The sequence below is a fragment of the Homo sapiens genome, chromosome 5 (genome assembly GCF_000001405.40).
Source record: "Homo sapiens chromosome 5, GRCh38.p14 Primary Assembly".
Taxonomy (NCBI): Eukaryota; Metazoa; Chordata; class Mammalia; order Primates; family Hominidae; genus Homo; species Homo sapiens.
This window is the reverse complement of record NC_000005.10, coordinates 80,977,298-80,989,784: the sequence shown is the minus strand read 5'-3', so window position 1 is coordinate 80,989,784 and position 12,487 is coordinate 80,977,298. Positions and strand designations below refer to the sequence as shown.

General features: G+C 40.1%; 1 protein-coding gene across 5 annotated transcripts in view, besides 1 other annotated feature; it reads right to left on the bottom strand.

The window, feature by feature from the left end:
- RASGRF2 (Ras protein specific guanine nucleotide releasing factor 2) overlaps window positions 1–12,487 on the bottom strand; it is a 269,800-nt gene that overhangs the window by 240,378 nt on the left and 16,935 nt on the right. Inside the window, exon 1 of one of the 5 annotated variants that reach the window (XM_047417463.1) lies at window positions 3,762–4,477. The exons of the other annotated variants lie outside the window; for them this stretch is intronic. The gene's annotated coding sequence lies outside the window, so the exon portion shown is untranslated. Of the gene's footprint in view, window positions 1–3,761; window positions 4,478–12,487 lie in introns of those variants that run through there. 5 annotated transcript variants of the gene reach the window in all.
- Window positions 3,861–4,155: a silencer, noted in NCBI's record as "tiled region #14075; HepG2 Repressive non-DNase unmatched - State 7:EnhWF, and K562 Repressive non-DNase unmatched - State 22:ReprW". NCBI's record gives its function as "represses a minimal TATA promoter and a strong SV40 promoter by Sharpr-MPRA in HepG2 and K562 cells {active_cell/tissue: HepG2 | K562}" and the evidence as "EXISTENCE:reporter gene assay evidence [ECO:0000049][PMID:27701403]".

The window sequence follows — 12,487 nt, the reverse complement described above, 5'->3', positions numbered from 1 at the left end:
ACAATGACCATCATAGTATATGTTTCAAAATCCAAGAATATAGTGAAGCCCAGGCTTCAAAATGGAACCTTTTATTTCAGCACGTGAGGAGAGCAGGCTAGCTCCCTCTCTGTTCACAGTCCATCTCCATCTTCCAGATCTCATTTACTAACACGATGTGGCACTTTATGAAAACATTTTTTCACTCTACAGTAGTAGCGCCAAAGTCTGCAACAACATTATTAGTTGTTCTGATGATAAAGGTTGCTCCAATACAGAATTCCACACAAAGGAGTCTTTAAGCATCCCCCATTACAGTAGAATGTCTAAACAAAAAACAATAGCCAAACAGAAATGAGCAAAATCATCAGTAACATTTCCATAAGTATGTTTGGATCAATTCTTTTAACATCTGGTACCCTTAGGTAAGGCTTTATACAACTGACTTCATCTGATTTAGAGTAACTTAATCTGATTTTGAATATCAACACAAAGTAAAGGAGTTCTTTCTTTTAAAAAAAAATACCAATTATATGGCCAGGCACAGTGGCTCATGCCTGTAATCCCAGCACTTTGGGAGACAGACGCGGGGGGATCACTTGAGGCCAGGAGTTCGAGACCAGCCTGGCCAACATGGAGAAACCCCATCTCTACTAAAAATATAAAAATTAGCCAGGCGTGATGCCTGTAATTCCAGCTACTCAGGAGGCTGAGGCATGAGAATCATTTGAATCCCGGAGGTGGAGGTTGCAGTGAGCCAAGATTGCACCACTGCACACCAACCTGGGCGACAGAGCGAGACTCTGTCTAAAAAAAAAAAAAATCAATTATGATGCTCAACTTTCTGATGCTCAATGGATGTCACCTTAATTTTTTAATGTCTGCAATTTAAAAAGTAAAATTTACAATCATTAGGGCAAATTATGTATGTCCAAACTATGCCTATTTTGTTATGCTTTATTTTTGTTTGTATGTACAAACTATACATAATGGCTATTATTTATCAAGCATTCGTTATGTGCCAGACGTTATTAAGCAACATTACAACATTTTTAAGGAATGTTTGTTAAGCCATATTTACAAATGCCTTCTTACATTATCCCTGACTCAACTCTATGAGGAGATGTTACTTCTGCCTCATTAAGAGATGAAAGCAGAAGCACAGAAAGGTTAGACTGCTAATACCTGGCAAAGTCAGCATCTGAAAGCAGACAGTGGCTCTCTCAATTGCTATTAAGTAGCAATTGACAGAGAAGTGCAGAAAGTATCCACCAGGGCCTGGACTATATACATCAATTAAGACTTTAAACACATAACAATGACTTAATTCAGCAAGACTCTAACATTTATTAACAACCTTCATAGAATGGTACTAAGAACTCTAGGTAACTTATAAGAAAAATAAGACATGGTCCTTGGCTAAAAGGACTTTGCAGACTAATTAAAGAGATGATAGGCCGGGTGTGGTGGCTCATCACTGTAATCCCAGCACTTTGGGAGGCCGAGGCATGGGGATCACTTCAGCCCAGGAGTTTGAGACCAGCCTAGGCAACATGGTGAAACCTCGTCTCTACAAAAAATACAAAAATCAGCCGGCTGTGGTGGCATGAGCCTGCAGTCCCAACTGCTTGGGAGACTGAGGTTGGAAGATTGATTGAGCCCAGGAGGTGGAGGTTGCAATGAGCCAAGATCATGCCACTGCACTCCAGCCTGGGTGTGACAGCAAGACTCTGTCTTAAAGAAGAAGAAGACTACACACACACACACACACACACACACACACACACACACACACACGCACATTTATTTCAAAACTACACATGAGTAGAGATGATAATGTGGTACAAATGAAACACAGAGAAAGATGACAGATATAACAGGAAGTGTTGTGGAGGTGATCTCTAAGTAGCTTTCTAAGAAAATAATGCTTGGATTAGAAAGTGATGGGAGAAGAGAATTTCACACCGTGATCAAAAACAGAGGCAAAAAGGAACAGGAGAGATGGAGGTGGCAGCTGGAGAATAGAATGTATGTCATGAAGTATTTCAAGTTATATGAAACTGTGATGAGCTATTTCACAGTGGTTTTCTTTAACGAAGAATCTACATTGTATGCTCATCACTATTCTGACTTTATCCCCTCTTTCCCCAGTGTTCCAGAGCAACCTTCTGAGTATTAAGTGGAAGCCAGCTCCCTGTGCTCCCTCCCTTGTCTGCTCTCCCACAAGCATGCATCATGTGCTCAAAAACAAACTAGCAGAGTAAATAAGTGACGTCACTACAAATCACCCAGCACTTATTTCCAAAAATTGTCTTTTCATGAAGCTGAAATAAAATTAGTGTTGAATTCAAACGACTGAACTACTTGTCTATTTTAAAACGATGATGGGGAGGTCTACATTCAACCAATGTGTTTTATTTAAAGAGCTCTCACTCGACCGAATGCTTAGCCTAGGGTAAACTGTGGTTCCTGCCCGCAAGGACTTTTTAATCCAGTGAGAACCAAGTCTCTCACAATGCCTGGCACACAGTCAGTGCTCAACAAATGGGAGCTCCTACCTCTTGAGCACTGTAGCTGAACAATGGGAATTTAAAGAAAAAGTCCAGAAGCAAAGGACAGACCCATAAGGTCACTGTAAATCAAAGAGTTAGTAAGTACTATGCAGAGACCACTGGCAAGGTGTGGCAAACTTCCCAGAGGGTCAGAGAGTTGGTCTTCTGTAGAAAAGGAGCTCATCTGGCAGAAGGAGAAAGCTGGAGAGCATTTCAAGCAAAGAAAACAGCAATGCACACAGCCTGTTAAGCAGTGATGACTAGCTTTGTATGGTGTGACTGGGGCCCAGATATGGGGGCAGTGTGAGTAAAGGGGCCAGACCTCCGAGGGCTTCAAGGTTCTGGAAAGAGGGTGGATTATCTAGCAGTTACAATGAGCCAACAGCAAATATTAAGCAGGAAAATAACATGATCTGACCAATTTAGAGAAACAGGTGCCATGGCAATGTGGAGAATGAATTGGAAAGGAGGTGTGGAGGTCACCTAGCGGTTCAACTGAGGTAATATAAAGGTTTGAAATCAAGCAGTGATGAGCAAGATGAAAAGATGAACCTTAACAGATACAAATGGTAGATTTCTCCTTGCAACACGTAGCTTAAACTCCAAGTTAGAGACTGTTGCGTTTCCTTATGTCCCCAAGGCATCCACTATGGAGCAATTCAGACTATTCAGACTACTGCCTTTTGAATATGGAGACTAAAAATTTTACCATACAGAATGCCCCTCTCCTACTTTCCTTCTTTCAGTAAACATTGACTATGTGAAACTAACTACATACCTGTACTGGTAGTTAGAAATGCAAAAGCAAATAAGATACAGTTCTAAGGAGTTCAGAGTTGAATAAAAGACAGACAGATACACAGATAATAACCAACAATATCCCAGTGCTATAAGAGCTGTGTATGGGGCAGTGGGTGTGCAAAGGAGACTTCCAGAGTGCTTGGTTGGGACTGAGAAGGTAGCATTTAACTCCATGAATGTCTTAATGATCTAAAAGATTTATGACCAATTTTTTAAATGATGTGCATATTGCCAGTGACATTTCCCATTAACTTAGCTGAAGCTATACCTAAATTTCCCAAAACATATAATTTCAGATATAGACTATGTGATGGCATCTATAAAGTTTTATTTAATATTGTGAATGTGAAAGGTAAATCCCAATAGTAGAGCTCTGCTTGCTAGCTAGGGCTCACCTGTTAACTACTATAATAAAAACCAGTTTCTTACCTTTTGAAGTTTCAACTGTTAAACTGACTCTTTGTATTGAATTTCACCATGGAAACAAATAAAACGCTTACACACACATACACACACACACACACACACCTAAAGACCTATTGGAGTCAAGCACACACTCTATATTTATCTTCCACAACAAAAATCTTTGCTTCATACCTAACACTCTCTTCAGACTCCTTTTGGTGGCCTTAGTTCACTTTCAATTTTTCCACAAACTGGCAGGAGTTCCCATAATACTCCACCCCCTCCACATCCTTCCTGTGCTGGGTCACTTAAAAATAACTAGCCATGAAACACTTAAATATTCAGGAAATTATTTTAGTGGGAAAGTCACTGGCGATCACAATTGTAGCAAAACAGAGAATCCAGGGTAGACCTCAGAAGGTGCTTAAATAAGAACTTTATTTTTTAGAGAGTACACATTTCTTTACTCCTTACTTTACTACCAAAACAATTTGTTTGCAACACGTGACTAATCTCTGGGGCTAATGCTCTTTATCTAACATCCTTCATTATGTGACAATAAAATAGACTTTTATAAATTCTCATGCCACAAAAATATTTTCACTTAGAATTTTGAACTTGTTATGTAGCTACATCGTATATCAATTACTAAATGGCTAAATAATTATTTTGATTATATAAGATACACAAGTCTACTACAGAAAAATAGACCATATAAATAAGCATGAAGAAAATTAACCCCAATCTTCCCCATCAAAGAGAATCAGTATGAACGGTCAGAATCTGTTTCATTCAGAACTTCTGTTGTTGTTGTTTTTGTTGTTGTTATTGTTTTTGAGACAGGGTCTCACTCTGTTGCCCAGGCTGGAGTGCAGTGGCACAATCTCTGCTCACTGCAATCTCCGCATCCCAGGCTCAAGTTATCCTCTCACCTCAGCCTCCCAAGTAGCTGGGACTACAAGCACTTGCCACCACATCTGGCTAATATTTTCATATTTTTTGTAGAGATGGGGTCTCACTATGTTGCCCAGGCTGGTCTCGAACTCCAGAACTCAAGTGATCCACTCGCCTTCGCCTCCCAAAGTGCTGGAATTACAGGCATAAGCCACTACACAGGCCTCTTTCAGAACTCTTAAAAGTACAAATTCATACATTTATCTTTAAAATATTGATCCTCTATAGAGACTCTCTAATAACTCATTACCATCATTTACATTGAAAATACAATTATGTGGATAATCCATAGTTTAAGTACTCAATCTTTATAGTCGGGCATTGAGGTTGTATTCAATTTTTCATTATTAATGACAACATTCTAATGAGCCTACTTATTATACACACACCTTGGCACATTAATACAAGTGTTTCCTTAGGTCATAATCCTAGAAGTAGAGTTGCTGGATCAAAGATTAGACATGATAAGATCATAATTTTTACATCACAGAAAATGTATACCTCATAGATTTTTAAGAACACATATGATAGAAGAATAACAAAGGAATACCTGATTTAAAATAAAACAGAGCATAATAAACATCTGGATCTAGAAAACACAAAGGAAAGTATAATCTTTATTTAAAAGTAAGAGTTTACATCAATTAAATTATAGCTTAGGTGTCAACAAAACACAAACCCTAACCTAAAACATGTTGGGGATCAGTCATGTTTGCTAAACTTGTACCACAAGAAACACGAGGCCAGGTGCAGTGGCTCATGCCTATAATCCCAGCACCTGGGAGGCCGAGGCGGGTGGATCACTTGAGGCCAGGAGCTCGTGACCAGCTGAGCCAACATGGCAAAACCCCATCTCTACTAAAAATACAAAAATTAGCCTGGTGTGGTGCCTGTAATCCCAGCTACTCGGGAGACTGAGGCAGGAGAATCACTTGAATCTGGGAGGCAGAGGTTGCAGTGAGCCAAGGTCACGCCACTACACTCCAGCCTGCCCAACAGCACAAGACTCTGTTTAAAAACAAAAAAGATGAAGAAGAAGGAAAAACGAGCTCAGTTTATTCAAGAGGCTCCATGAAAACAGAAGTCTGTAGACAATAAACTTGGATGCTATATTATAGATCAGCACTGGACAACAGAAATATAATACGCACCACAAATGTAAGCCATGCACGTAATTTTGAATTTGCTAGTGGCCACATGAAAAAGAAGTAAAGAGAAATAAGTAAAATTAACTTTAATAATACATTTTATTTCACCCAGTATATCCAAAATATTCATTCAACATGTAATCAAATAAAAAATTTATTGAGCTCTTTTATGGGTTTTTGGTACCAAGCCTTCGAATTCCAGCATGTGTAAGTATACACAAAGCACATCTCATTTTGGACTAGTCACATTTCAAGTGCTCAAAAGCCACACGTGGCTAGTGGCTACCATAATGAACAGTGCAGATGTAAAGCAGAGGTTGGCAAATGTTTTCCGTAAAGGGCAAGATAGTAAATATTTTAGGCCCTGCAGACCCAGAGGCAAAATCAAAGATATTCTGTAGGTACTTAAATAGCACTGTTTGCCTAGGGCGGGCTGCCCAGGGTTGTGGCTTTGCACCCAAATGCCCTCAGATAGAGACATCCTCAGGATGAAGAGCAGCTGCCCTTAGGGTGGGCAGGGCTGCTGCCATCAGTTTCACCAGATCCCAGTGAGCCCCACAACCATGCAGAGAGCCCAAGTCATCGCAATGAGAGCAGGTGGCTGCAAGGGACGAGACCTAGCAACTGAGACTCCCAGATGGAGAGTCCACCATTCAGTGTCCTGCAGTTGCCACAGCAGAGATCCCAACATGTTGGTATTGACTTGAGCAGATGCTGGGAGCAGAGGAAACAGGGGCAAAGGGGATGCCCCCAGCTTGGTCTCTGTCATTGCTGACGCCAGTCCGTCGACATTCAGAGGGCAGACGCTGCTTAGAGAACAGGTTATCAAGTAAGGGAGGATTAACAAAGACATTTGCAAAGTAAAAGTTCTGGAAATCCTGTCCTAACCCGTTTCAAAAAGTGGTACCGAAGCATACAAGTGGATATTCCTCATGGCTAACATTGAGAGACATGGCTCCAAGCTACTGCAAATTTTTGTGGAGACCTATTTGACATCAAGAAAAATTCCCCACAGTAAACTTGATTAATAATAGAACCAAATTCCTGGCTGGGCGCGGTGGCTCACACCTGTAATCCCAGCACTTTGGGAGGCCCAGGCGGGCAGATCATGAGGTCAGGAGATCGAGACCATCCTGGCTAACACGGTGAAACCCCGTCTCTACTAAAAATACAAAAAATGAGCCGGGGGTGGTGGCAGGCACTTGTAGTCCCAGCTACTCGGGAGACTGAGGCAGGAGAATGGCATGAACCCGGGAGGCAGAGCTTGCAGTGAGCCAAGATTGTGCCACTGCACTCCAGCCTGGGCAACAGAGCGAGACTCTGTCTCAAATAATAATAATAATAATAATAATAATAATAATAATAGAACCAAATTTCTATCCCACTTCCAGCCCCCAGCCACACAGCTCTATCTTCCTTTCCAGTCTTGCCCAACCATTATTACCAACTTGAACCTAAACACTTTCAACTTAAGCCAAAATGAGCCTAGTTCTTCCTTCTTCCTACAGGTTAAACATGGCTCTTTCATCAAGGGTGATTTCAGATGTTCCTGTAACCCTCCCTGACCACAAAGCCAGAAAGGTCTTCCCCTTCCAAGAATATGTATAGCCTTTACTAACCCCCGCCCAAGTCATCAGAGAATGCCTTCAAATACACCGTCTCATCTCCTCCATAGATACGGGCTTTCAGGACGGCAGAGATGAGACCTTAAACTTCTTTCATAGGCCTGAGTAGAGCCCTCAATACTCAGCAAGTGCTCAAAACCTGCTTAGTGAGTAAATGAAGGAATGAAGTCCTGAGACTCTGACAAAGGCTCCTAAGAGCCACCAGAGTTGAGAATATACCTCCAGACCTTCACAGGCAGAAAAGCCCCACTAATGCCTGTCCTGATCTATCATTTTAGGGCATAAGCCATATCACTCTAGTGCTCCACTGCTAGTGAATTAATTCATTGTTAAAACTGTATTTCCCTTTATAATATAATTTATCCTTTACAAAATTTTTCTTTAAAGGTAAATATGACACTGTAATTTTTCCATTGAAACTAGATGCTTTGCTTTTTAAAAAGCAATTTTTAGTATGAGAAAGGAAATGTCTGGGACACCTCCTAAAGAATACTTTGGAGGCCGAGGCAGGTGGATCACTCGAGGCCAGGAGTTTGCAATCAGCCTGGCCAACATGGCGAAATCCCTTTTCTACTAAAAGTACAAAAATTAGCCACGTGTGATGGTGCAGGCCTGTAATCCCAGCTACTGAGGGGGCTGAGGCATGAGAATCACTTGAACCTGGGAGGCAGAGGTCGCAGTGAGCCAAGATCATGCCACTGCACTCCGACCTGGGCGACAGAGTGAGACTCTGTCTCAAAAAAAGCACTCTCTAGAGCACTGCTACAAACATACACACACAAACACGCACATACACACACACACACGTACTCACACAAGTACACGCCAGTGTGCTCAGAGCTCAGCAACAACAAATGGCAATCCTTGTCGTAAGAAAGCCTCATTGCCTCTCAGTTGTAGCACATGGACCACTGAGAACACTCTTTAAGGTTCTAACCACGGATTTGTAAACTTTTTTTAAGCTATCAGAAAGTACAGGTACCACAATTTTTAAAGCAAAACCATGATACCATGACCTGAAAACCCAAAAGCATTTATGGAATTGTAGAGGTAGAATATTTCCAATCAAGAGTGTCCTGGAAAACTTGGAACCCGTGCTGTGGTATCAATTAGGCAATGAAAAGCCAAATCATATTAACAAGAACAACAACAAAAGTCTTAATGAAATGGAAGGTTTTCACTTCTTAACAGTGACTATAAACAAGTAGTATTGCTGTATTGGGAGTATAGTAACATAATCAATACATACGCAGCTCTAAAACTTTAAGTGGCTTTTAGACAAATGTGGAGAAGACATTACGAAGTATCTAGAAAATGCTTGCTTGCCTGCCTGGATTTTACCATGATGTTATTGGCAGGAACCCTAAAGAGTCTGAGAACCGGCAGGCAGGGGTGTGGTAAGTGGGCTCTGGAAGAATCCCATTTCTCTAGCCAACAAGGCTACCAGGTAAAAAGCCAACAGGCTGTCTTCCCCTCCTCAAAATTACAGAGACGCTCCCTACAAACCTGCCTTCTAAGACCCCCAAATAATTTTCAAATAAAATGTTTCATCTAAACATCACAGTTAGAACACTCATTTATTACAATTCACAAAGGGTGTAAGTTTTAAAATGGTAAGGGAGAGGGGACTAAGAAATCAGTGGTATCCTCTTTTTTCTTTTTCTTTCTCTTTATTTTTTGAGATGGAGTCTGGCTCAGTCGCCCAGGCTAGAGTGCAGTGGCACGATCTCGGTTCACTGCAACCTTTGCTTCCTGGATTCAAGCTATTCTCTTGCTTCAGCCTCCCGAGTAGCTGGGATTATAGGCGTGCACCACCATGCCTGGCTAATTTTCATATTCTTTTAGTAGCAATGGGGTTTCACCGTGTTGGCCAGGCTGGCCTCAAACTCCTGACCTCAAGTGATCCACCCACCTCAGCCTCCCAAAATGCTGGGATTACAGGCATGAACCACTGCACCCAGCCAGTATTCTTTCAAGAGTACTGTCTGGGGCCAAAATCACCCTCATTTCCAAAAGCCACATGGAAAGCCATGATGGAGAAGGGCTGGTGGGCCCTGGGGACACAATGTTCTTGGTGCAAAGGATAACAGTCAGTCCGAGGAGGCAAGACAGCCCTTACCAACAGTAAAGTAAAGTAGGAAAGAATGAGTTTCCTTATCCATGAGTGCTGAATGGTTTTGTTTTGGTTTTTTCAAATCACAAAGGTAACAAATCAGATTTAACGATGGGCTAAAATTACCAAACTGTCAAATAAGCCATTCTCTAAGCCAAATGGAAGAATATGAAAAAATGAAAACCCACTGCCAAATGAGTAGGTAATGCTGTAGCTGTATAAAGAATCAGCAACAGCATCTTGATTTTTAGTGAGCAAAGATCTTGTGGTCCTATGGGGTTACAAAAAAAGATAAAAATCAACCAGGGTAAAGGTTAGCTGGTACTAACATCGGCCATCTTTCCAAGCAGGTTTTCAGAGCATACTCCTCAAACGCCAAGCACCAAATTTTCCTCTTTCTCACATAGCCATGATATTCTCTAGCCTTAAATTTAATTATTATAAAAGGCCAAAGCTTACAGTACAGGATGCAATATAGACATCCTTTATACAGTACCTGTATGCTGTTCCAAATACACATGCAGCAAAGATCTTTGAAACACAAATAAATGCCAAGTATCTCTCATCTGGAAACTGCCACATTCCTTTGTTTCTAAGATGGTGTTGTAAAGTGCAACATAAGTTAGTGAAGATTTTAGGGAAATAATTAGTACATCAATCATACGTACACAATAATTGAAAACACAACTTAATTTCAGAAAATGCAAAATATTAAAATGAAGGTATTCTTAGAACCAATTAAATAGGGTAATTTGAGGCATTCCTACTTTGTGCCTTCATATGGAGCTCATTAATAACAACCCTAGGCACTTTAATTACAATGAATATCACCCCCAATATCACCAAAATGCACTTAAACTTAGTTTTATTTCAAGAAATTAGACTACTATATTTGGTCTTTCATTTCTATATTTTAATTCACAGATTGTACTTTCATTCCAGAAATTTACATCTTATGTTGAATTTTTTCAATTAGTTACAAAGCTACCTTGAAATGCAAGTAGAGTGTTTATTAAATAAAATAGTTCTTGAGTAAGGTGGAGAAATTGGGAACTACCCTAATCATAGTAGCTAAAAGGAGACTCTCACTTCCCACTTTTTTGTTTCTTCATTTCTTTGCATGTGCTCCACCGACCCTGCAAATTTATTCACAAATGCCATCCTGATGTTCACTACAGAATCACAATAGCAAAACAAAGCTTTTCAATATTAAAACAGGCTAAATATCCAACAGTAGGGGAATGTTTATTGTACATCTGTGTGATAGAATGCTGTACAGTCCTTAAAAATAATGTTTTCAAAAAATAATTACTGGCAAGCAAAATGTTCACAATGTAATATTCAGTAAAGTATCAGAATCCTAAAGTCTATATACAATATGATCCCAGTTTTGTTTCCCCCCCTTTTTTTTTCTTTTTTTGAGATGGAGTTTCACTCTTGTCACCCAGGCTGGAGTGCAATGGCACGATCTTGGCTCACTGCAGCCTCCGCCTCCTGGGTTCACGTGATTCTCCCACCTCAGCCTCCTGAGTAGCTGGGATTACAGGCACCCGCCATCGCGCCCAGCTAATTTTTATATTTTCAGTAGAAACAGGGTTTCACTATGTTGGCCAGGCTGGTCACGAACACCTGACCTCAGGTGATCTGCCCACCTCAGCCTCCCAAAGTGCAGGAATTGATTATAGGCATGAGCCACTGTGCCTGGCCTTGTCCCCCTTTAAAATGTCTATTTATTATATACAGACATAGAAAAAAGTCCTTGAAGAAAATTCTCCAACAATTGAATACATAGTTTTCTGGTAAGAATGGGATTTCAGAATATTTTAGTTTTCTCATATAGTTCTCTGTGATTTCCAAATTTTACATGATAGACATTACTTTTATAAATAAAAAACTGCTTTTTAAAAATGTTCTATTAACACGGTACTTTATACTAAAAGGAAGAAAAAAGAGTAAGCTGTGGACTTGCATTATTTTCCTTTTAGTATACATTTTAGACACTCTCTTTTTAAAAAACTGCATTTTTAAAGCATAAATATCAATTTAGCTATGTATTTCCTCTGAAGAAAACCCTATTATTTTTACTTTAATATATTTAATATAATTATCACAGTCAGAAGGATTTACGTACCAGAAAGAAATCACATGACAAAGAAACTCTTTCACTCACCTATCCTCTAAGGGAATAGTTTCCTGCAGTTAGTAAAAGTAATCACCCAACTATTTCTTAAGGAATTTACCATCCACTAAACATTCTCTGAAGAGCTTAAAAACCCCAGACTCATAAACATGCTTACAAACTAGGCTGATAAGCTATCTGGTTCTCAAAATGGACCATAAAATGAACAGAATACACATCTGTAGCATCCAAACTTTCAAATGATTTGCTCTTTAAATTGCCCTCACTTAAATGAAAAAATGTAATTGTGAAGAATTTAAAATAACATTTTGGGCCAGGTGCAGTGGCTTACGCCTATAATCCCAGCACTTTGGGAGGCCGAAGCAGGCGGATCACCTGAGGTCAGTAGTTCGAGACCAGCCTCACCAACACGGCGAAACCCCATCTCTACTAAAAATAGAAAAATTAGCCGGGTGTGGTGGTGGGTTCCTGTAATCCCAGCTACTCTAGAGGCTGGAGAATCGCTTGAACCCAGGAGATGGAGGTCGCAGTGAGCTGAGATTGTGTCATTGCACTCCAGCCTGGGGGACAAGAGCAAAATTCCATCTCAATAAATAAATAAATAAATAAATAAATAAAATTTTGGTAGCATTTTATAGTTTACAAACACCTTTCACATAAGATTATCTCAGTTAATTTAATATTCCACTTTCTTTATTAGGTAGAAATTATCATGCCTATTTTCCAGATGAAGACATGAGTAAGCTTGAGGATCCAGAGTTTGTCAAAGA